General features: G+C 40.1%; 1 protein-coding gene and 1 pseudogene across 14 annotated transcripts in view, besides 1 other annotated feature; one reads left to right on the forward strand and one right to left on the reverse strand.

Annotated features, from left to right (window-relative positions):
• ITCH (itchy E3 ubiquitin protein ligase) overlaps positions 1–26226 on the forward strand; it is a 148501-nt gene that overhangs the window by 35711 nt on the left and 86564 nt on the right. For 8 of the 14 annotated variants that reach the window (NM_001324197.2, NM_001257137.3, XM_047440533.1 and 5 more), the window contains 5 exons: positions 9668–9809; positions 13532–13656; positions 14759–14896; positions 18134–18256; positions 25497–25542. In NM_001324197.2, coding sequence (NP_001311126.1) covers positions 9668–9809; positions 13532–13656; positions 14759–14896; positions 18134–18256; positions 25497–25542 — 574 coding nt within the window. Of the gene's footprint in view, positions 1–9667; positions 9810–13531; positions 13657–14758; positions 14897–18133; positions 18257–25496; positions 25543–26226 lie in introns of those variants that run through there. The other 6 variants (NM_001324198.2, NM_031483.7, XM_047440532.1 and 3 more) reach the window with 3 other exon arrangements.
• Positions 3177–3789, reverse strand: CDC42P1 (CDC42 pseudogene 1; annotated as a pseudogene).
• Positions 13087–13287: a silencer, noted in NCBI's record as "peak4195 fragment used in MPRA reporter construct". NCBI's record gives its function as "represses an SCP1 promoter by STARR-seq MPRAs in K562 erythroleukemia cells {active_cell/tissue: K562}" and the evidence as "EXISTENCE:reporter gene assay evidence [ECO:0000049][PMID:32103011]".

The following is a 26226-nucleotide window of genomic DNA, read 5'->3' on the forward strand; positions in this document are numbered from 1 at the left end:
CTTAATGACATCGTGGGTTTTAATCTCTTAATGGGTCAGTTATAGTATTTGTTTTATTGTAAGCTGCCTCAATGCCTTTCTAGAATCAAGTAAGGAATAAATATGCAAGTGTAAAAAATGAATGTCAGGCTGGGCGTGGTGGCTCTCACCTGTAATCCCAGCACTTTGGGAGGCCGAGGTGGGCGGATCACTTGAGGTTGGGAGTTCGAGACCAGCCTGAGCAACATGGAGAAACTCTGTCTCTAGTAAAAATACAAAATTAGCCGGGCATGGTGGCACATGCCTGTAATTCCAGCTACTCGGGGGGCTGAGGCAGGAGAATTGCTTGAACCCGGGAGGCGGAGATGGCGGTGAGCTGAGATCGTGCCATTACACTCCAATCTGGGCAACAACAGTGAAACTGTCTCAAAAAAATAAATAAATAAAATAAAAATAAACAAATGTCACCATGTATTGTAATGGCAAGAAGGGATAACTGGTCAGGAAAAAGAGATCAGTATTTGACTAGAGTCACTGGGAAAGAAGGTGGTGTTTGGATTGCTGCTATTTATTTATTTATTTTAAGGGACAGGGTTGGCCGGGCATGGTGGCTCATGCCTGTAATCCCAGCACTTTGGGAGGCTGAGGCGGGCAGATCATCCGAGGTCAGGAGTTCAGGATAGCCTGGCCAACATGGTGAAACCCTGTTTCTACTAAAAAATACAAAAATTAGCCAGGTGTGGTCATACGTGCCTGTAATCCCAGCTACTCGGGAGGCTGAGGCAGGAGAATCACTTGAACCTGGGAGACAGAGGTTGCAGTAAGCCAAGATCGCACCCCTACACTCCAGTGGCACAGTCACGGTTCACTGCAGCCTTAACCTCCTGGGCTGAAGCAATCCTCTCTCCTCATCCTCTATAGTGGCTGGGACTACAGGCGTGTACCACCCACCACACTTGACTAATTAAAAAAAATTGTGTTTTTGTTTTTTTTTTAAGACGGAGTCTCGCTCTGTTGCCAGGCTGGAGTGTGGTGGCGTGATCTTGGCTCACTGCAACCTCTGACTCCCTGGTTCAAGCAATTTTTCTGCGTCAGCCTCCTGAGTAGCTGGGATTACAGACATGCGCCACCAAGCCCAGCTGATTTTTGTATTTTTAGTAGAGATGGAATTTTATCATGTTGGCCAAGATGGTCTTGATCTCCTGACCTTGTGATCTGCCCACCTCAGCCTCCCAAAGTGCTGGAATTATAGGCGTGAGCCACTGCGCCCGGCCAAAAATTTTTTTTTGTAGAAACAAGGTCTTGCTATGTTGCCCAGGATGGTCTTGAACTCCTGGCCTCAAGTGATGCTCCCAGCCTTTCCATAAGTGTTGGAATTATAGGCCTGAGCCACTTTCCCTGACCTAGGATTGCTGCTGTTTAAATGCAGAAAAGTAGAAAAGGACCCTTTGAGGAGACAGCATGAGCAAGACACATGAAAGAAGAGAGTACACAAAACTTGCCCTAATACCCATGAAAGCTCCTATAATAGGGGAGCCCTGAGAATGGGAATGGCTGTGTCTTTCAGGTGTGCCTTAAAAAAAATTTATTGCTAAGGGAGATGGAGATGGGAAGTAATCAGTGTTTGTATCAAAGGGTGGTTAGATTTGTGTTTTAGAAAGTTAGAAAGAGAAAAAAATTTTTCTTTTTTTTTTTTTTTTTTTGAGACAGTTTCGTTCTGTCGCCCAGGCTGGAGTGCAGTGGCGCGATCTCAGTTGACTGCAATCTCTGCCTACCATGCCCACCCCCTTACCTACTTATTTATTTATTTATTGAAACAGAGTCTCGCTCTGTCACCCAGGCTGGAGTGCAGTGACTTGATCTTGGCTCACTGCAACCTCCGCCTCCCAGGTTCAAGCAATTCTCATGCCTCAGCCTCCCCAGTAGCTGGTATTGCAGGCATGCACCACTGTGCCTGGCTCACTTTTTGTATTTTTAGTAGAGATGAGGCTTTACCATGTTGTCCAGGCTGGTCTCAAAATCCTGACCTCAAGTGATTCACCCACCTCGGCCTCCCAAAGTTCTCGAATTACAGGCGTGAGCCATTGTTCCCAGCCAATTTTTAAATTTTTTATAAAGACACATTCTCATTGTGTTGCCCAGGCTGGTCTTGGATGTTTTGAATCAGCTCTTCGTTTCTTCTTATCATTTAGCCAGGGTCTTTACCTTGGATGTAAGTCTGTTTTCTTATGTCCTTCCCTGTCTTTATTTACCTGTTTCCCATTTAATTATGCCTATATATAACCTCAGCTATTATACTGAACTCATCTGTGTCTTCTTTTTTTCTTTTTTTTGACCGGGAAATTTTTTTTTAAATTACAAGCTCAACCCATTTGTTCTGTTTCAAAGGTGCAGTACTTTTCTTCATTTATTAGTGAAAGAAGTTAAGAAATTAACTTTCCAAAAAAATCAGCAAATGGCAAGCAAATGTCCTTGAAAGTCACAGTCACATATAGTGTCTCCTAGAAAAGAGGAGGGGTAAGACAGCTTCCACCTACTTTCACAAGTTTCATCAAATACTGGATCTACTCAAGGGTGGAGTAAAAAGGCAACTAACTTTCTAAAAGGAGTATGTTATTAAATGAGGCATTTACTATACTCCTTCCTAAAAGCCCCAGATGGGGAACATGTTTTCTCAACTAGACCTAGGAAGTAGACTGTGGAATCAATCGGTCCTCCTCACCTTAAGGGCCATCCACTGGTTAATGAATTAAAAAAAAAAAAAAGACTGAAAAACAAACCTCCCCCCTAAAAAAGAGGAGGGGGAAAAAAAACCACTAAGATGTCCCAGAGTGGAATCAGGGAGCAGCTTCAACAATTCCAATTAGTCTGTTACAGAGTCATCCACAAGCATGCCTTGCTTTAAAAATACATATATATATCTTGAAATAACAAAACTGAAACTAGTACTAATCACTTTTCTGACAATATACAATTACTCAAAATTAACTAGTACTGGGCTAGGGATACGGGGGGGCGGCGCATAGCTATGGGCCTTGTCTCACATGAGTACATGTGGGTAGGTGCAGTGCGTTTGTCATTATGGCAAAAACGAATTTTAATTTTTAAGCTTTAGTTTGACTTAAACATTGCTTTTAGTATGATGCCAACACCAGCTATGCAGAAAGGGCTCTGGAGAGATGTTCCTAGCAGCACACATATGCAGCTCTTCTTCGGTTCTGGAGGTTCCAGGGCAGCCAATATTGCTTCGTCAAATACATTCTTTAGGCCTTTCTTTGTGAGTGCAGAACACTCCACGTACTTGACAGTCTTCAGGTCATGGGCCAGCTTATTCAGCAGTCTCTGGAGTGATAGGCTTCTGTTTGTTCTTGGCAAGTTTCTCAATAGTAGAGGGGTCATCTTTGAGATCAATTTGGGTCCCAACAAGCAACAAAGGAGTCTTTGGACAGTGGCACCCACTTTTCTTTCACATTTTCAAATGAAAATGGAGAGATGGAGAGACCACTGAAAAATAGACTAGAAATACATCTGTTTGTGGATAACTCAGCAGTCATAATCCCTCATAATCCTCTTGCTCTGCAGTATCAAAAAGTCCAAGAGTATATGGTTCTCTACCAGTCATAATTGTTATTGCATAGTTGTCAAAAACAGTTGGTACATATTCTGATGGAAATTTGTTGTGTTGTTTTACCAACAGCACCATCACCCACAACAACACACTTAATTGTCTGCATTGCTGAAATAGTTTTGTATCCACTTTAAATATTTCAAATCTCATGTTGACCTCAGCTTCTCCACCGGGTTGTTGGCTCATCTGTGTTTTTTATTTGATGTTTGTTGTATGCTAGCATTGGGCAAAATAAGGAAACTTTGGTATTTGCCAGAAATTTCTTATATTCTCGTCTTTACTCCAAATTAAGAAAGAGATGTCATCTTGATTTTAGTTATTATTAATCGTAATTAAATATTACTGCATTTCCCAAATTTATTACAGTGCAATATATTTAGCTCTGATTGTTCAGGGACCAAAAAGATCCCTTATACTTATGTTTTTTTTTTATTCCTTTAACAGTCCAGCAAACTAAGAATTTTATACTTGTGATTTAGAGTTTAGTTCTCCACAGGCAGGGCAGAGTTCTTCCAAAGAGGTAGCTGTTGCTCAACTGGATTGATCTCTTACCTGGTTCATTATTCTGCTTATTTATTTAGTTTTGGCACTGTTTTTTGTTGTACCTTGTTCTCTGTAGCTTATCCAAAGTAGGTTGGATAAGCTACGGATCCATTCTTTTTTTGTATGTGTATTGTAAAATGTTTATGTTGTATCAGAGAGATACACTGAAGAACTGAAATCAGTTCAAAGCACTGACCTTCAGAACAGAAGGATCAGAGGAACATTAGTTTAAGCCATGAAAACTATTTGCATTAGTATGTGGGTATGTGTGAGAGAGAGAGAGCACATGCATGGGAGAGTGAGATAGCCAGCAAGTGATTATAATAAAGCAGAGAGACAGAGACTAGAAAGCAGGGAAACTTTTGTTTTCTACCATGACTAATAACAATTTGGTTCAACATGTATATTAAATACCTCTCAGATTAAATCCCAGAGTGCTCCAGAAATTGTAAAGATTGGCTATATCTGTGCAATCAAGAGGCTCACGGGGTGAGTTAAATGAGTAAAAACTAGTAAGACAAAATGAAAAGCTGACGGAGCCATACGTAAATATGGAAATACTCTGGAAGCATGGAGGTGGAAATAATTTAACTTCTTAGGATTAAAGAAGCCTTTAATCAAAGAGAAGGGGGATGTTTATCTCTCAGGAAATATAATTTTAATGGGTATAAAAGAAAAAAGGATCATTCTCAGTAGAGGGAGCAGCATGTTTAGAGGAATGAAAGTACATGGCCCATGTGAGGAACAGCAAATAACTAAGGGTGGCTAGAATATAGAACTTTGGTAAGATTTGTTTTAGTAGGAGGCTGGAAGGGTAAGTTATAGCTGCATACTAAGCAAGGTAAAATGCCCCATAAGAGTTTAAACTTCATTTTTCAGGCAATAAAGAATCATTTAAGTAATGACATTAATGACATGATCACATCTATTCTAGGAAAATAATTCTGGTGGCTGTGAGGGGTTGGATTGGAGAAGTGAGAGTAAAAACAGTTGTTTAGAGGCCTCTCATAGTAGCCCAGGTGTCAGATGAGACTGACATTTTTCTGGTCCTTTTTCTTCCGGTTTATAATGTATAGTTTTTTATTTTTTTGTTTAATTTACTGTGGGACTTTAGTTTTCAGAAAGTAGTACATTGATTTATTTTATATTTGTAATATTATGACTATAACACAAGGTTTTGTTCAATCTAGACTTTGAGATTTGAATACTGAAATAATTTCTCCTGTCCAGGTTTTGCAGTGTGACCCTTGGGCAAATTTTTAAATTTCACAGAGCTTCTGTCTTTTTTTTTTTTTTTTTTTTTGAGATGGAGTTTCACCCTTGTCACCCAGGCTGGAGTGCAATGGCATGATCTCAGCTCACTACAACCTCTGCCTCCCGGGTTGCAGTGATTCTCCTGCCTCAGCCTCCTGAGTAGCTGGGATTACAGGCGCCTGCCACCATGTCTGGCTAATTTTTGTATTTTTAGTAGAGACAGGGTTTCACCATGTTTGTCAAGCTGGCTCCTGACCCCCGTTGATCCTTTTGACTGAGACTTCCAAAGTGCTGGGATTACAGGTGTGAGCCACCACGTTCGGCCGCTTCTCTTTTTATGTGTAAAAATTAGGACAGTAATACCTGTTTCGCAGAATAGGTATTGATATTGAAATGACATTTACGTGCAGGCACATGGTAAATACTAAAATTGGTGCTCCTCCACCCCCATGTAAAGTTTGTTAGGCCAGGCCTGGTGGCTCATGCCTGTAATTCCACCACTTTGGTAGGCCTAGGTAAGTGGATCTCTTGAGCCCAGGAGTACAAGACCAACTTGGGCAACATGTCAAAAGCTTGTCTCTACCAGAAAAAAAATACAAAAATTTCCTGGATGTGGTGGCACGCACCTGTAGTCCCAGCCACTTGGGAGGCTGAGATGGGAGGATGGCTTGAGCCCAGGAGGTAGAGGTGGTTGCAGTGACCTGAGATTGTGCCACTATTCTCCAGCCTGGGTGACAGAACCAGACCCTGTCTCAAAAAAAAAAAAAAAAAAAAAAAGGTTTCAGTGGGGTTTGGTAGGATTATGTAGCAAAATTGCTTTCACAAATTTGAATCCAGCTGGGCACAGTGGCTCACGCCTGTAATTCCAACACTTTGAGGGGCCGAGGCAAGTGGATCACCTGAGGTCAGGAGTTTGACACCAGCCTGACCAACATGGTGAAACCCCGTTTCTACTAAAAATACAAACATTAGCTGGGTGTGGCGGCGCGTGCCTATAACCCCAGCTGCTTGGGAGGCTGAGGCAGGAGAATCGCTTGAACCCGGCAGGCGGAGGTTGCAATGAGCTAAGATTGTGCCATTGCACTCTAGCCTGGGCAACAAGAGCGAAACTCCTATCTCAAAAAAAAAAAAAAGTTTGAATCCTAGAAAGCCCCAACAGGGGCAGATCATTTCCTTCCTGTCAGCCTTGCGTTGCTCTTTGTTCTAGGTTTAATCAGTTTCAGAGTGCCACAAGAGGCCCTGAAATATAATGAGTGTATGTATAATTGTTTGGGCTATTTCACCTTTTCTTAGACCAGAAATGTATTAAAAGTAGAAATTTTATGTTTTTCTGTGTAATCCTGTGATTAAATTTGGCTCTATATTAAGCACTAGAGCTTTGATTTAATAGTACTTTTTTTTTATTTTTTATTTTTTAATAGAGATGAGGTCTCACTGTGTTGTCCAGGCTGGTCTTAAACTCCTGGGCTCAAGTGATCCTCCCGCCTGGGTCTCCCAAAGTGCTGGTATTACGTGCCCGGCCTATTACATTTTAATCAGAGATAGCTCTGGTCCCCACTTGAATATTTTTTATTCTGAAAAAGACTTTCTATTTCATGTTTCCACTTAGATGTCTCAGCATCTGGCATCTGAAACAATTTTTTTTTTTTTTTAAAAGACAGTTTTGCTCTGTTGCCCAGGCTGGATTGCAGTGGTGCAATCACAGCTCACTGCAGCCTTGACCTCCCAGGCTTAAGCGATCCTCCTGCCTCAGCCTCCCCCCAGCAGCTGGGACTACAGGTGCACGCCATCATGCCTGGCTAATTTTTAAAATTATCTTTTGTAGAGACGGGGGTCTCACTATGTTGACCAGGCTTTGTTCAAACTCCTGGGCCTCAAGTGATCTTCCTGCCTCAGCCTCCCAAAGTGCTGGGATTACAAGTGTGAACCACCATGCTTGATCTTGTCTATTTGTCTAGCCTTCTCTTGCAACTCTTCTTTTTCTTCAGTCAGTCATTCTGTGGCTAGCTTGAATGCCAGCAAAAAGGCACATAAGCCTAAAAGGATGGAAGTATTTGATATATGTAAAGTCAGAGTTTCAGGGCCACCACCTGGGACTATGCCTGCTTAGATATCCAGACTTTGGACTATATATTAAGCTGCTGCTTCTTTTTTTTTTTTTTTTCGAGATGGAGTCTTGCTCTGTCACCCAGGCTGGAGTGCAGTGGCGCAATCGCGGCTCACTGCAATCTCCGCCTCCCAGGTTCACACCATTCTCCTGCCTCAGCCTCCCGAGTAGCTGGGACTACAGGCGCTCGCCACCACGCCCGGCTAATTTTTTGTATTTTTAGTAGAGACAGGGTTTCACCATGTTAGCCAGGATGGTCTCGATCTCCTGACCTCGTGATCCGCCCGTCTCAGTCTCCCAAAGTGCTGGGATTACAGGCGTGAGCCACCGCACCCGGCTATATTAAGCTTCTTAAGTAGTTACTATATAAACTCCTCTGACAACTCCAAGGGTTCCTTAACTTTGATGAGCATTAGCATTCTCTGAACTTTGCTGCTACAGTAGATAACCTGGGTGGTGGAGTAGATAACCTGGGTGGTGGGTACTTCCTTGGTTGTAGTTACCTCATCTATGAGGGAGCAATGACTTGCCACCTATGGAAATCATGGGGTGCTTTGCTAGATTTCTACTTGTTATACCCTGTAAGGGGCCTGGACAAAGCTATTTTATGGCAAAGGTAACTAAAAGGTGAAGGCTAAGGAGTTTGTATCTCAAGATGCACAACATAGGAAGCTCTTCCTTAGATAATATGAGATGTTAAAAAAAAAATCTTAGTTTGTAGTTCTTATTCTTCCATTGGCTTTCCAACACACAGAATAAAATCTAAATTATCATTATTATTATTATTTTTGATACGTAGGCTCACTCTGTCGCCCAGGCTGGAGTGCAGTGGCATAATCTCGGCTCACTGCAACCTCCACCTCCCGGGTTCAAGCAATTCTCCTGCCTCAGCCTCCTGAGTAGCTGGGATTACAGGCGCCTGCCACCACACCTGGCTAAGTTTTGAAATTTTTTAGTAGAGACGAGGTTTCGCCATGTTGGCCAGGCTGGTCTTAAACTCATGACCTCAGGTGATCCACCCGCCTCAGTCTCCCAAAGTGCTGGGATTACAGATGTGAGCCGCTGCGCCCAGCTGCAGATTCTTTATCTTGGTTTATAAAGCTCCCATACAAAGCTTATCTCCCTTCATTTACCATTCCTTCCTGTGCTTGCTATACTTTCCCTCAGATATGCCATACTCATTTGCCTCTCTCTGGAATGCTGTCTTATTCCCACCTCCAGTCTTCCCATGGCTGGCTCCTTGTCATTTGGATGGTTGCTTAAAAGTCTTCTCAAAGGCCTTCCTTACTACCAAGTCATTTTCTGTCACATCAGCCTGTTTTTCATCATAAATACTTTAATTAGAATATAATCTCCTTGAAAGCCAGATCCTTTTCTTTACTGTTAATTGCTTTAGGGACAGAGTTTAGAGCAGTATCTGACACATGGTAGGCATTCAGATGTTTGTTGACCATGTTTGTCAATGCATACATTTTGTTTTGAGATATGGTCTCGCTGTGCTGCCCAGGCAGGTCTTAAACACCTAGGCTCAAGCAGTCCTCCTGCCTCAGCCACCTGAGTAGCTGAGATTACGGGTGCAAGCCACCCTGCCCAGCCATATGTGTACTTTTTAAATTTTTCCTCCTGTTGCCCAAGCTGTTGCACAACCATAGCTCACTGAAGCCTTGACCTCCTGGACTCAAGCGATTCTCCTACCTCAGCCTCCCAGGTAGCTGGGACTGGCACACGCCACTGTGCCCAGCTAATTTTTTTGATTTTTAGGCGAGATGAGGTCTCGCTATGTTTTCCAGATTGGTCTTCGACTACTGAGCTTAGGCAATCCTCTTGCCTCAGCCTCCCAAAGTTCTGGGATTAGAGGTGTAACCCGCTGCACCTGGCCCATATGTGTACTTTTTAATTGATCTGAGTTCTGGACTTTTGATACCATGGAATTCTACTGATGGGAATTTGGGTTGATGGTACGGGGAACCTCTATATTTATTTACTAGGATGGGAGGAAGTACAAAGGTTATGAGTGAATAAAATTGGTAAGTATTTTAGAGCAAAACTGCTTCTCTGAGTAAATTTAGTAAATCTGCCTAATTATGAAGTTAAATTGATTTCATGAGTGAATTAACATCTCAACTATTGAAATGTTTTTCATTTCTTTTACATAGTCATCTCAGCAAAACTTAAGGAAAATAAGAAGAATTGGTTTGGACCAAGTCCTTACGTAGAGGTCACAGTAGATGGACAGTCAAAGAAGACAGAAAAATGCAACAACACAAACAGTCCCAAGTGGAAGCAACCCCTTACAGTGTAAGCTTGGAAGTATTTTTCTGTAGTATGTTTTGTTTAGTAGATGATTGGAAATACAATTTAAAAAAATGTTTCTCACTTTGGTTTTTTGTTGTTGTTGTTCCTCCTTTCTCTCTTCTTTTTTTTTTTTTCTTTTTCCTAGGACTCCTTCTGGTTTGCTTTTTTGTTTCTCTTTAGATAGCTGTTTTTATAGTCACTCCCTTTCTTTACCTTCTCTAGTTTAGTTGGTGATGATATTGCTCTTGTCACTGAACAATAGCTGAAGAGAGCCCATGGTCACGGACCTAAAAAGATTTCTGGCAGCACTTTTTATTAACTTTGGGTTGAATTAAGGGATTATGAGTACTCCCCCCCCCCCCGGTTTTTAACTTAATTTTTAAAAATAGTGTTTTAGTTAGTTTTTTCTTTGTTTTATTTTGAGATAGAGCCTCACCCTGTCACCCAAGCTGGAGTATAGTGGCACTATCATAGCTCACAGCAGCCTTGAACTCCTGGCCTCAAGAGATCCTCCTGCCTCAGCCTCCCAAGTAGCTGGGACCACAGGCATGCATCACTGTGCCTGGCCAGTTTTTTAGTATTTTAAATTACGGTGCCAGTTATACTATAGTTATTTATTTTTTGAATGAGATGGGGTCTTGCTATGTTGTCCAGAGTGCTCTCTCTCAACCTTCCCGGCTCAAGCAGTCTTCCCATCTCAGCCTTTTTCTCAAGTAGCTAGGACTACTACTATACATTTTATTCTACAACTTTCTTTTTGTACTTAACACTAATATCATGGTGATCTCTTTACCTGAGTACATATGGATCTTGCATCCCTTATATAGCTTTGTAATATTCCTTAATATGGGTGGACTATATTTTAATAGTTCTGTATTGATTCTAATGTTGCGCTATTAGGCAGTATTGCAGATACATCCATGTGCATATATCTTTGTATGTTGGTGTTTATATCTGTAGTGTAGATTCATAGAAGTAGGATATAGCTCAGTTTTAACACAAAGCCCTAAATGTTGGCATTATAATCTAAGATATTGACAGCCATTGAAGGTTAATTTTAATTTTTAAAATTAAAATAGAAGAAAACACATGGAGCCAGGTGTGGTGGCTCACACCTGTAATCTCAACTCTTTGGGAGACTGAGCCAGGAGGATTGTGTGAGGCCAGGAGTTCAAAGGTGCAGTTTGATATGATTGCTCCTGTGAATTGCTACTGAACTCTAGCCTGGGCAATGTAGCGAGACCCTGTCTCTACAAAAAGACAAACAAAAAAAAAAAAGAAGAAAAAGAATGATTTGGCCAGGCATGGTGGCTCACTCCTGTAATCCCAGCAGTTTGGGAGGCCAAGGTAGGAGGATCACCTGAGGTCAGGAGTTCGAGACCAGCCTGACCAACGTGGTGAAACCCCATCTCTACTAAAAATACAAAAATTAGCTGGGTGTGGTGGTGGGTGCCTGTAATCCCAGCTACTCGGGAGGCTGAGACAGGAGAATTGGTTGAACCTGGTAGGCGGAGGTTGCAGGTTGCAGTGAACTGAGATCGTGCCATTGCGTTCCAGCCAGGGTGACAAGTGAAACTCTGTCTCAAAAAAGAGAGAAAAAAAAAAAAGAATTTATGGAAGATCATCTTGAGGCCCGTATCATTCGGATGTTCCTCATCTGTGTTTATTTCAACATAAATGTTTCTTAGGCTTTCTGTTTTTAATTAATGGCTCATTGTAGATTGAGTCAAAATGAAACAATGTATTAAAAAAATTTCAAGAAAACACATGAGGCTGGGAATGACTGCACATGTTTGCAATCCCAGCTACTTGGGAGGATAAGGGGGGAGGATAAGGTGCTTTAGCCCAGGAGGAGTTCGAGATTAACCAGGGCAAAGTAGCGAGTTCCCATCTCATATATATTTTTTCCTTTACCAAGTGGTATCTATAAAAGGTCGCAGCCTCCATGATTACCAGAGATGTTCAGTTGAATTAGATGGTCACCTAATTTCCTCCAACTGCTTTGAGTGCGTACTTGATATGCACTTGGAGGCTCTTAAGCTGTTAATGTCATGAACTTCTTAGTGATTTAAAAGTTAAGAAAAAAACTCTCTTTGTAGTTCTATGTGGTAGTGCTGTTCTTGATTACAAACATTTGGGAAACTTACAATTCAAGTTATTTTCCTGAATTTTTAAGTTGCAGCAAATTGGCCTGGAATTTTATCACTTCCCATTGTCGTGTAGCAGGCTTTCCAGACTGCTTTTGAGAATTGAATTGAAACAAGACTGATCATCTTTGACAGTATACTTTATGTACCTTTCTTCCATATTAAAAATAGTAAAGTTAAATTTATTTGCCTTTTATTTCATCCCTATTATGATTTCTAAATTGACTAATAGAGAATTTCTTTTTTCCACTCTCACCCAGGCTGGAGTGCAGTGGCGCGATCTCTGCTCACTGCAACCTCCACCTCCCGGGTTCAAGCAAGTCTCATGCCTCAGCCTCCTGAGTAGCTGGGATTACAGGCATGCACCACCACTCTCAACTAATTTTTTTGTAATTTTAGTAGAGACGGGGTTTCACCATGTTGGCCAGGCTGGTCTCAAGCTCCTGACCTCAAATAATCCTCCCACCTCGGCCTCCCAAAGTGCTGGGATTACAGGCGTGAGCCATTGCGCCTGGCCGAGAAATATTTTCCTAATACAATATATAATATGAGCTCTCTTGAAAGTAGCATCTGAGAATTTTGAAAAGAATGAATACATTGTATCCCCTAAGAAGAGGAGCAGTGTGGAATTTTTAGTTTGTTTTATCTACCCATTGCCGTTGAAATGGTGCTGGTTAATAGGTACAGGTAGACTTCAAAGGAGGAAAGTGTTTCTTTGTCCCCTCAAACTTGATCACATTAGAGAGAATGAGATATAGAGAAATTCAAACATTTCTGGAATTTGTCTTTATATCATTGAACCATAGGACTGTGGTAGATTATATAGTGCTCCTAGCTTTCTGATCCTTGACTCTAACATTGATTCTACGTGTATTGCAAATTCAAATTTCCCAGTTTACTTTGGAAATACCATTATAGAGAGTATTCCTTATTGGCATTTAGCAAGGAATGAGTGAGTCTATATTTGATAGTTGGACTGGGCAACTTGCCTCTAGCAGTGTGAAACTTGATGTATGTAATGTAATCTTCAAATCATGTAGCTGACGTGAGGAACTTTTTAATATAAAGTTTAATGTCAGGATTTTATTCACATTACAGTTCTGCTACTTACTGGCTATTTGACCTTAGGCAATTTGCTTTATCTCTGAATGTCAGTTTCTGTATCTGAAGAAGGAAGTGATAATTCCCATCTCATAGGGTTACTATAAAGATAAAATAACTTCAAGCTCTGTAAACTACTGACATAAGGATTTAATTTGTAAAGTTACTCTTCTGTACTACTAAAGTAAAACTAGTTTTCCAATAGTTTGTTGCAGGATAAGCAGTTTTACTTTTGTTGACAATATGTGTATGAATTTACTTCTGTAGTTCAACTGCAAGTGAAAATGACCATGTAAGCATGTAGCATTCAGATAATTTTCATAAGATTACTGAACATAGGCCAATATTGATTGTATAGTAAACTGTAAGGGGTGCAGTGAGAAGACTTTAGACTTTAAAACTGAATTGTAATTTATTTAGGATCTCATTGTGATATTCAATAAAAATAATATTTTTTCCCTCTTTTTTCACTTTTAGTATCGTTACCCCTGTGAGTAAATTACATTTTCGTGTGTGGAGTCACCAGACACTGAAATCTGATGTTTTGTTGGGAACTGCTGCATTAGATATTTATGAAACATTAAAGTCAAACAATATGAAACGTATGTATGTAAGACTAATAGAAATTGCACTTAGCTGTTTGTTTTTCTGGAAGAAATTTATATGTCAAACATGCATAATGACTCATGTTCTCTCATACTTTTAAGTTTTACTTGGTTATAGGATGAACAGATAGAAGAATTTTACACTATTGAAAGTATTCTGAGTAACCTTGGTTTGACCATTCATTTTGGATTCAGTATTTTTAGTAAATATTTATTTACTTAGTAAATAGATATTAGTAAAGTAATACATATTTAATTGTGGAAAAACTAAAATATAGAGCAGAGATGAAAGAAAAAAATAAAAATCCCACTTCAGAGACAAATCAAATGAATATTTTTACAGATTTCCTTTTCAGATGCTTTTTTTTTTGGGAGGGACATGGGGAGACAAGGACTCACTCTGTTTTCCAGGCTGGAGTACAGTGGCTATTTACAGGTGCAGTTGCAGCACAGTGTAGTTTTGAACTCCTGGCCTCAAGTGATTATCCTGCCTCAGCCTCCTGATATATCTGGGACTATAGGCAGGTACCACCACATCCAGCTTTAAATGCTTATTTTTAAAAATGTCCTCATTTTATGAGGTTGTGGTTTTATTTGTATATGTATATTTATATAATGTAGAAATATGTGTAGCTTGTTTTAATTAATATATCATTTTAAAACACATTTTTTTCTACCCCTCGACTATCTAAAACATACTTCTAAAAATTTTCTCATTTAGGACTTATTAGATATAATTTATCCTTAAATTATGTTTTTACTCAATTTAATTCAGGTATATATTACTAAATAATCCTTATTCTTATGCTAGCCCATTTTATACTATAGTCTTACAAGGATGGAATGAACATAATAAACGATGGAGATACTATTTTACATCATGAATATGAAACATTAGCATATTTTGTCCTTTTTAAAAGATACAGTGTTTTGGTGTCAAAAGTGTTCAAACCTTGGGTGAAACATAGTTAAACAGTTTATATGCACATATAGTTATATTTTCTCGGACATCACATTTTTAACAGTTAATTTTTAACAGTTAAGATGCCTTAACTGGGAAAAAAGTGACCATTTTTTCTGTAACTTTATTTTCTTCCAGTTGAAGAAGTAGTTGTGACTTTGCAGCTTGGAGGTGACAAAGAGCCAACAGAGACAATAGGAGACTTGTCAATTTGTCTTGATGGGCTACAGTTAGAGTCTGAAGTTGTTACCAATGGTGAAACTACATGTTCAGAAAGTAAGTGACTACCTTTTTAAGGTCTTTAATGATTCTTCTTAAATAAAATAGCCATTGTAGTATGCTGTATGTAATTATTTTGATTTTTTTTTTCAGATTAATAAAATGTTTTTTTCTGGCCGGTGTGGTGGCTCACGCCTCTAATCCCAGCACTTTGGGAGGCTGAGGCAGAAAGATTGCTTGAGCTTGGAGGTTGAGGCTGCTCTGAGCCGTAATCACATCACTGCGGTCCAGCCTAGGTGACAGAGTGAGACCTTGTTTCTTTAAAAAAAAAAAAAAAGAAATGATTTTTTTCTTTTTAAAAAATAGACATTGATCACTTTAAACATTTTCTTTTTAGTGTATTATTTCTGTGAATAAAAGCATGTATATTTTTACATAAGTTGAAAAATTAGCCAAATAGAAGTTGAATCACATTTGCCTCCATGAGTAATGAGTTGATTTATATAGTATTTATTCTGTAGGCCAACTATGGCAGTTAATATGGGTTAGATGCCACACCGCCAACTGTGCCAATGGCAGACAGAGTTTATTGTCTGTAGCAGTGTGGGGCTGAGTTTAAATATGACTTTAAATCCTTTTTTTTTTTTTTTTTTTTTTTTTTAAGACGGAGTTTTGCTCTTGTTATCCAGGCTGGAGTGCAATGGCACGATTTCGGCTCACCGCAACCTCTGCCTCCTGGGTTCAAGCGATTTTCCTGTCTCAGTCTCCTAAGTAGCTGGGATTACAGGCATGCGCCACCACGCCCAGCTAATTTTGTGGGGTTTTTTTGTTTGTTTTAGTAGAGATGGGGTTTTTCCATGTTGGTCAGGCTAGTCTCGAACTCTTGACCTCAGGTGATCCGCCCACCTCAGCCTTCCAAAGTGCTGGGATTACAGGCGTGAGCCACTGCATCCGGCCTCTAAATCCTTCTTAACACTGTACCACCCAGCCATTACAAGCTGAGATCCATTTACCATTCCCCTTCTACTTCTGTAGGCTACACTTACAGAGATATCTTTTGACAATACTAATTCATTATATGTGTGTTAGTAAATCTTACAATCTCTGATTTACTAGTGTGTGTTAAAGGAAAATAAACTGTGGTGGCACCTGAGTTAGTGGCTACACAGCTAGCATATTTAATAGAACTTTTTCCTACTGTTTTCCCATCAGATATTTCCATCACTTCCTAATGTGTTAAGTGTATTTTCACTTGAAACATAGATTTTAGAGGCCTGAAGACAATGAAAGAGCAGATTAATGGATTTCTTGATGAGTTTGACGAAGATCTTTTGGTTTACTTAGGAACTGCATTATGAAACATTTTGCAGCTGTCAGGTGCTATTCTTTTTCTACTTTGTTGAAAGACTTCCTACTTCCTCTTTGACTCATGACTTTTAAAAATAGCAGGACAGGCTGGGCACAGTGGCTCACACCCCTTGATCCCAGCACTTTGGGAGGCTGAGGCAGGAGGGTTACTTGAGCCCAGGAGTTCGAGACCAGCCTAGGCAACATAACAAAACCCCATCTTTGCAAAAAATAAAAAAATTTGCCATGTGTGTGGCACGTGCCTGTAGTCCAGGTACTTGGGAGGCTGAGGTGGGAGGATCACTTGAGCCCAGGAGTCAGAGGTTGCAGTGAGCGAAGATCACACCACTGCACTTCCAGCCTGGGTGACAGAGTGAGACTCTCTCTCAAAAAAAATAAAGTAGCAGGACCTAATATGTCTTCCAGATTAGTTCTCTGGGGCTAGTGAGGATGGAAAGAAATTTCTGAAATGGTTATACTGATTTGGAGTTGACACTTTGATTATTGTTCACAAGAACTCTATAATAGTCACATTTTTCTATACATAAATTGGAAGTCTGGAAGATAAAATACAAGTTACATTGTTAAACTGCCCTAAACCTCAGTATTTATAGTGTCCTAAGCTTCGCCCATAGAAGATGAAACTATTACTAATGTAAAATATTTAATAATTGCTGGACGCGGTGGCTCACGCCTGTAATCCCAGCACTTTGGGAGGCCGAGGTGGGCTGATCACGAGGTCAGGAGTTTGAGACCAGCCTGGCCAACATGGTGAAACCCCGTCTCTACTAAAAATATAAAAATTAGCCTGGCCTGGTGGCGAGCACCCGTAAGCCCAGCTGCTCGAGAGGCTGAGGCAGGAGAATCTCTTGAAACCAGAAGGTGGAGGTTGCAGTGAGCCAAGATAGTGCCACTGCACTCTATCCTGGGTGACAGAGCGAGACTCTGGCCAGGCGTGGTGGCTCACGCCTGTAATCCCAGCACTCTGGGAGGCCGAGGCAGGCGGATCACCTAAGGTTGGGAGTTTGAGACCAGCCTGACCAACATGGAGAAACCTCGTCTCTACTAAAAATACAAAATTAGCTGGGCGTGGTGGCGCATGCCTGTAATCCCAGCTACTCGGGAGGCTGAGGCAGGAGAATCACTTGAACCCGGGAGTTAGAGGTTGTGGTAAGCTGAGATCATGCCATTGCACTCCAGCCTGGGCAACAAGAGCGAAACTGGGTCTCAAAAGAAAGAAAAGAAAACAGTTATAACAATATACTACAATAAAAGTTTTATGAATGTCATCTCTCAGTTTCACTTTCACTCCAAAAATACCTCATTTTTTTAGCTTTGTTTGGACCTTTGGGGGGAAAAATACCTTATTGTACTCACCTACTTTTGGACCACAGTTGACTGTGGGTAATTAAAACCATAGCTAAGGGGAGGCCTACTGTACTTACAGACACATTTTTGGTTCTTTCTTTTTGGTGGATAAATTTTCTAAAAATGGCAGTTATATAAATAAACTTTTTCCAAGTGAAACAAAGTGTACTTGTTTTTTCTTTTTCTTTAAGTTGTATTTTAAAACTAGCTGGCTTTATATTCCCCTACTTTCAACTAGTTTAATATCTCGCTACAAGTCTCGGTTATAATGTTTTCTTTACATAATTTGTTATGGTGTTTTCCTTCAATGAAGTACAGAGTTAATCTGCTTTCATGAGTCTCTAGGAAGAGGTCTTCCTAGACCTCTTCCTAGCTTTTTTTTTTTTTTTGAGACGGAGTCTTGCTCTTGTCACCCAGGCTGGAGTGCAGTGGCACTATCTCAGCTCACTGCAACCTCTGCCTCCTGGGTTCAAGCGATTCTCCTGCCTCAGCCTCCAGAGTAGCTAGGATTACAGGCATCTGCCACCACACCTGGCTAATTTTAATTTGCTATTTAGGTAGACTTTTTTTTTTTTTTAGATGGGGTTTCGCTCTGTTTGCCCAGGCTGGAGTGCAATAGTGCGATCTCGGCTCACTGCAACCTCTGCCTCCCGGGTTTAAGTGATTCTCCTATCTCAGCCTCCCGAGTAGCTGGGTTTACAGGTATGCACCACCACGCCTGGCTAATTTTGTATTTTTTAGTAGAGACAGGGTTTCTCCGTGTTGGCCAGGCTGGCTTTGAACTCCCGACCTCAGGTGATCCGCCTGCCTCGACCTCCCAAAGTTGCTGGGATTACAGGCGTGAGCCACTGCGCCCGGCTGACTTTTTTTTTTTTTTTTGAGACGGAGTATCGCTCTTGTTGCCCAGGCTGGAGTGCAATGGCACGATCTCGGCTCACTACAACCTCTGCCTCCCGGGTTCAAGCAGTTCTCCTTCCTCAGCCTCCCGAGTAGCTGGGATGACAGGCATGCGCCACCATGCTTGGCTAAGTTTTGTATTTTTAGTACAGATGGGGTTTTACCAAGTTGGCCAGGGTGGTGTCGAACTCCGGACCTCAGTTGATCCGCCTGCCTAGGCCTCCCAAAGTGCTGGGATTATAGGCATGAGCCACTGCGCCTGGCCCAGCTTTTTTTTTTTTTTTTTTTTTTTAAAGGTTGACTTATTCTTATAGCCCACAGATCTGAAGTAACAAATCAGGTGTGGGCAGTTCATATCTGCCAGAGGTTCTCATTCATCTTTTTTTTTCTTTTCGTGGGATGGTTTTTTTGGTGAGTTGTTTAGTACCAGTCTTCCCATTTATGACCTCTAACAAGAAACACAGAAAAGTATTATTGCCAAAGACTAATACTAGTTTTCCTAAAGAGAAAGAAAAATGCATTTTACTTTCAACTTTTTTTTTTTTTTTTTGAGACAGGGTATCGTTCATTTGCCAAGGGTGGAGTGCAATGGTGTCATCTTGGCTCACTGCAACCTCCGCCTCCTGGGCTCAAGTGATCCTTCCACCTCAGCCTCCCCAGTAGCTAGGACTACAGGCGCACTCAGCCACACCCAGCTAATTTTTGTATTTTTTGTAGACAGGTTCTCACTCTGTTGCCCAGGGTGGTCTCAAACTCCTGAGCTCAGGCAATCCTCCTGCTTCGGCCTGCCAAAGTGCTGGGTTTATAGGCACGAACCACCACTCCCGGCCACTTTTAACTTCCTGATTATAAAATAGGAACATAGTCTTGTAGAGATCTTTACTTTTTATCATGTATACTCTGGATGTGTTTAAAATTAATTTAGGGAGAGTTTTTGGAATATGTGACTTCTGGTTCTTATTCTATGCATTCCATTCCTTTTAAATTTTGATGCTTTGTTATGTTAGGCTCTAGTTTTTGTAGTTCCGCTTAACGTTAGGGTAAACCATTTTCATATGTGAATATATTGATAATGTTTCTTACTAGAATAATAAATTCTAAGAAAGTAGCCTAAATTTTTTGCTTTACCAAATATTATTTGAAGTTACTAGATCTCAACTGGTCTGGGTACCAACTAATTTTATAGAGATAAACTTTGCTGTAATGTTAGTTTTAAAAATTTGACTTACATTTGAACATACGTCTATGTATGCTCAGAATATTAAATAATTTACTTCCCCACAAAAGGTAGTAAAACTCCTTTCTTTCTTTTTCTTTTTTTCCTTTTTTTTTTTTTTTTTTTGTGAGACGGGGTTTCGCTCTTATTGCCCAGACTGGAGTGCAATGGCGCGATCTCGGCTTACCGCAACCTCCATCTCCTGGGTTCAAGCAATTCTCCTGCCTCAGCCTCCCAAGTAGCTGGGATTACAGGCAAGCGCCACCACGCCCGACTAATTTTGTATTTTTAGTACAGGTGAAGTTTCTCCATGTTGGTCAGGCTGGTCTCAAATTCCCAGCCTCAGGTGGTCCATGTGCCTTGGCCTCCCAAAAAGTGCTGGGATTACAGGCATGAGCCACCGCGCCCAGCTGTAAAACTCCTTTCAACATGTATGTTATGTTTTTGTCTTACTTTATGAGAGGTACTGTAAAAATTGAAGTATTGAGGCTATGATATGGTCATTGTGAATTTCAGTGAAGACTACTGTGTTCTTCATTTTTACAATTTACAAAGCCCGTTGTTATATATTCTCATATTTAATATGTGTAAGATATAAAATAAAATGAGCATCCCTGAAACTATCACACAGCTTAAGAATTAGAGTATTAACAATATCATTGCATCCACCTGTATTTTTCTTCCTATATTATTCCTTTCCTTTCCTTTCGAGATAATCACTATTCTGAACTTTGAATTTGTCATTTCTGTGGTCTTTAAAAGTTTTATCCTATGTGTGATATATAAGCATTACTTGTACGTTTCTCTTGAGCTCTATGAAAATATCAGTGTTGCCTTTTTTTTTTTTTTGAGACGGAGTCTTCCACTGTTGCCCCGGCTTGAGTGCAGTGGCACGATCTTGGCTCACTGCAACCTCCTTCCGGGTTCAGGCAATTCTCCTGCCTCAGCCTCCCGAGTAGTTGGGATTACAGGCGTCCACGACCACACTCAGCTAATTTTCAGTGTTGCCTTTTTCTTTTTTTGAGACGGAGTCTCACTCTGTCGCCCAGGCTGGAGGGCAGTGGTACTATCTCCGCTCGCTGCAAGCTCCGCCTTGCCGGTTCACGCCATTCTCCTGCCTTAGCCTCCCGAGTAGCTGGGACTACAGGCCTTTTAAGATTTAGTCATATAATTGTGTCCGTAGGCCATTCACTTTTACTGCTGCATAGTAATCTGTTGAGTGAATGTACCGGGTTTTAAGATTTTTATATCAAAGGACATTTGCTTAGCTTTTTTTTTTTAAACCATGTGAACAGTGATACATTGAACATTTTTGCATATGTTTATTAATAAACAGATTTAACGTTTATGTTGGGTGTATGCTTGAGAGTAGAATTGCTGGGGTATGTTTATTTTCAGCTTTACAATATTAATTGCTTCTTCAAATATGCTATTAGGATATTTAAAACTGAGATGAAATTTACATAACATACAATTAACGGTTATATAAAGTGTACACCTTAATGGTGTTTAGTGTATTCACAGTGATACACATCCACCATCTGTCTCTAGTTTCAGATCTTTCTTGTCACCTTAGAAAAAAAACCCCATTTCTTTCTTCTCCCAAGCCGTGATAACTGCTAATCTGCTCTCTGTCTCTATGGATTTGCCTATTCAGGATATATCACATAAAAGGAATCATGTGACTTTTTTTGTTTGGATTCTTTACTTAGCATAATGAATTTGAGGTTCATCCAAGTTGTAGAATGTGTCAGTACTTCCTTTCTTCTTATGGCTGTATGATAGTTCTACTGTGTATATTTGTGCCACAATTTGTTTATCCATTCATTCATTGATAGACATTTGGCTTATTTCCATTTGGCTGTTATGAATTATAAATAATGCTGCTTTAAGCATTTGTGTACAAGGTTCTGTGTAGAAATATGTTTTCATTTCTTTTGGATATATACCTAGGAGTAGAATTGCTGATGCTTGTTTTTGATAGTTTCTCATTTCTTCCTTGTAATTTTTTTTGATACATAGGAATTTTTTTTAAAACATTCTCCATTTGATAATTCCAGTGTCTGAAATCCTTGGGTATATAAATGGTTTTTTGTCTCTTCCTCATTGAGGTTTGTTTTCATTTGCGTTTGTTCTTCGATTGCAAGTTTATATTTGATCTTAATCTGTTGGAATCTTAAGGGCCTAAATTGGGGATTCTTTGCCCCAGAGAACATTTCTTTTGCTTCTGCTAGTTGCTAGGGTGTACCACTGAACTGGGAACGCTTCAACTCCTTTCCTACCTGTGTATTTGTAAAATGGATCAGACCCTTGCCAGCCTAATGTGGCAGGCTCTGGTTCAGCACCACAGGTTTGCTGCTGGCCCAAGGCTTTCTAATCCATCTGAGGATTGAAAATGGCCCTCTGGATAACCCAGTTTTTCACATTTGCTCACTGCATACTTGTGTCTGTTCACTTTGTTTTTTTATTTTTGAGACAGGATCTCGCTGTGTTGCCAGACTAGAGCTCAGTGGCTATTCACAGGAACGGTCATAGCACACTGCACCTTTGAACTCCTGGCCTCAAGCAGTCCTCCTGCCTCAGCTTTTTGAGTAGCTGGGACTTCAGGTGCTCACCACCATACCTGGCTTCAGTTCACTTTTTTGTTTTTGAGATTGCTAGACACCCAAGAAATAGGAACGATGTGTTAAAACGCTTTATCTAGGAGCTAGTTATTTTGTGGTGGGAGGGCAGGTCATTTTGACGAGCTTACTGAGTAGAAGAGATCTTTGTAGATCTTCCAAAGTTTCTTGTGGGTAAAACATGTGCATTTAGCAATCTGACAAATTTTCTTGAGGAAATTTGGATTGGGAATACCTTTAAAGGGCAATACGTTTGTAAAATGCAGTGGTTAAGAACAACCATTGTTCTCTTCTTGGACGTTCATTGTATAAGTGTTAGATTTTTGTTGTTGTTGTTGTTGTTGTTGTTAACTATTCTCTGGTTGTAAGCAGAGGATAAGATCTAAATAATTTATGCCATACATTTCATAGTTATGGCTTCACTTTATATTGGAGTGAAATAAAAGAGTGAATATTCCAGGCATGGTGGCTCACACCTGTAATCCCAGCACTCTGGGAAGCCAAGGCGGGAGGATCACTTGAGTCCGGGAGTTTGAGACCAGCATGGACAACATGGTGAGACTCCATGTATTCAAAAAAATCTTTAAAAAATGTAGCTGATTTTGTGGTGGCATGCATCCATGCATCCTCCCACTTTGGGAGGCTGAGGTGGGAGGATTGCTTGAGCCTGAGAAGTTGAGGCTGCAGTGAGCTATGACCATGCCACTGTACTCCAGCCTGGACAATGCATCAAGACCCTTTGTCAAGAAAAAATATGTATATTGAAAAATGGCCCTTGTTTAGACTTTCCTAATGAGATGTAAATTTTGAGAAATAATAGTTATTATTTATGGACTGCTTATATGTGCTAGCACTGTGCTAAATGTTTACATGTTTAATTCTTATAAATACTCTATGAAGTAGGTGTCATCCCCATTTTATATATGCAGGAAAAGTACAGGAAGTCAAGTGTACTTTTGTAAGGTCACAAAGTACATGATAAAGCTAGGATACAAACCTAGGCAGTCTGCCCTCAGAACTCATGTGATTAAAATACTGTTCTTTGTCACTGTAGTGAGAAGGTTTTAGAAGTAGCAAATAATGGTAGACTTAAATGGATTATTCCTAATGATTTTCTTAATTTTGAGAAAAGTGAAATACTAATAGACACATTTTAGTAACTTATGCTGGATATTTTGTTGTGGTTTTCTGATTTCATTTATGTCCCATTCATAAGCCATTTTAGGGGACTATATTCCATATTAAAACATTCTTAAACTGAAATTTACCCTTTATAGCCAAAATGTATTTCATTGTACCATTTTTTTTTTACCACATTAACATCTTTATTGAGTTGTATTTTATACAACATAAAATTTACCCATTTCAAGTGTACAGCTTAATGAATTTTAGTAACTTAAGTGAGGGATTCAACTATCACTGTAATTTAGGTTTAAAACATTTTTATCCCCTCAGTAAAATCCCTCTTGCCTGTTTACAGGAGCTTCCCTTCTCACTGTCAGCCACAGGCAACCACCACTAATCTGTATTTTTTTTTTTTTGAGACGGAGTTTCACTCTGTCGCCCAGGGTGGAGTGCAGTGGTGTGATCTCTGCTCACTGCAACCTCTGCCTCCCAGGTTCAAGTGATTCTCTTGCCTCAGACTCCTGAGTGGTTGGGACTACAGGCGCCCGCCACCACACTCAGCTAATTTTTGTATTTTTAGTAGAGATGAAGTTTCGCCATGTTGGCCAGGCTGGTCTCAAGTTCCTGACCTCAGGCAATCTGCCCACCTTGGCCTCCCAAAGTGCTGGGATTACAGGTGTGAGCCACCACGCCCGGCCTCTATTTTTTATCTCTAAAAATTCGTCTTTTTCTGGACATTTGTATAAATGGAATCATAAAATATCTGTTTTTTGTGTCTGGCTTCTTTCACTTAGCATAATGTTTTTGAGGTTCATCCATGATATAGCGTGTTTCATTAGTTTGTTCTCTTTTATTACCAAATAGTAATAATTCCATTGTATAGACAACATTTTATTCACATACTATTTAAAGATAATATATTTCTAGACTGGATGAGACATTTACCAACTTTGCTAAGTATGGTATAGTATAGTGGTGACTCAGTATTTTTTAAATTAATCCACCAATTATGCTTTTTTGTAATATGGTAATAATTTCCCTGTTTAAACTATGATTCTATCCAGGGCCTATTGTTCCTTTACTAAATGGACCTAGGTGGTCGAACTTGAGTTCTTGTTTCTACATGTGATCATTTTTCTTTCTCTTTCCCTGTTTACCATTTGTTTTGCTTCTTTAAATGTACCTACCTTTAGCACCCTCCCTCCAACACTTTTCTTTTTTTTGAGACGGGAGTTTTGCTCTTGTTGCCCAGACTGGAGTGCAATGGCGCGATCTTGGCTCACTGAAATTTCTGCCTCCCGGGTTCTAGCGATTCTCCTGCCTCAGCCTCCCAAGTAGCTGGGATTGCAGGTGCCTGCCACCACTCTTGGCTAATTTTTGTATTTTTAGTAGAGACAGGTTTTACCATGTAGGCCAGGCTGGTCTTGAACTCCTGACCTGAGGTGATTCGCCCACCTTGGCCTCCCAAAATGCTGGGATTACAGGTGTAAGCTGTTGCACCTGGCTCCTCCAACACTGTTACAGTAAAAAGATCTGGACTGAATCCTAAGGATATTTTCCATCAATAAAGCAAGAAGAAAATAAGAATATTGTGGCATTAATTTTTGGCAACTTGGATTCCCATTTGTGGCTTTCCTAATTTTTAAGCTGTTTTCCAGGCCCCTGCAATAAGAGAGACGTTATGGGTTTTTCTGTTTCTGGAATCGATTTTATTCTGCTGGCGATCAGCACTTTTTTATGAGGTATTTGGGATACAAAGATGGTTAAAACACTAGGTTTAAATTAGAGTTAGACATATTTCAAAAAAAAGGCAGGAATAGTAGTGCATGAGTAATATACCTTTAGTAATTAACATCCCGTATCCATTAATTATTAAGCATTTGCACAAAATTTTGGCAGACTTTTTTTGCAGTCATGAAAATCACATTTTTCCTTTTAAAGTCATGTTGGAATTTAAGTTATAGTATGTTCTTTATTACAAAGATTTAATAAAAGGCTTTGCTTACATGGCATGTTTAGAAAAGAAAAAACATGAAAACTACTCTCTTGAAACTCATTTTCTGTTTAAACTTTGATGTTAAAGGTGCTTCTCAGAATGATGATGGCTCCAGATCCAAGGATGAAACAAGGTAAGCATTCACTGATTGCTTACCACAGAATGCGGAGAGATAGATTTCCTAAATATTCATTTTAGTGTAAACTTCAGGTTCATGATATAAGAATAAATGAGTGTCAGAAAGAATTCAGAACTCAAGAAGGGAAATATTTGCAAAAGATTGAAGACTCTTAGCTTATCGGATTAGAGCTATCTGGAGTGGGCTAGGGATAACCAAATTGTTGATACTTCTTCAGCTTGTAGAAAATAAATATACTGGCACCTTTTCAGAGGCAGGGTGTTCTAAACTCCAGAGCCATCATTGGGCTGTTAAGTTTCTTTTCCAGAAAAACTGAGATAGGAGCTTTACACATATGTGAAGGTCACCACTAGCTATGGTATCATCTGGGCCTTCATTAGAAGGGGCAGAGCTTTGTACCAGCTGTTTGCTGTTAGCCCAGGTTTAGCACTTTCATGTGCCTATCTGCGTTCAAGTTTGGACCTAAATGTGGGGAAAAGAAAGAAAGATCAGTTTGTTACTGTGTCTATGTAGAAAAGGAAGACGTAAGAAACTCCATTTTGATCTGTACTAAGAAAAATTGTTCTGCTTTGAGATGCTGTTAATCTGTAACTTTAGCCCCAACCCTGTGCTCACAGAAACATGTGCTGTATTGATTCAAGGTTTAATGGATTTAGGTCTGTGCAGAATGTGCCTTGT

This window comes from Homo sapiens, chromosome 20, assembly GCF_000001405.40.
Source record: "Homo sapiens chromosome 20, GRCh38.p14 Primary Assembly".
Classification (NCBI taxonomy): Eukaryota; Metazoa; Chordata; class Mammalia; order Primates; family Hominidae; genus Homo; species Homo sapiens.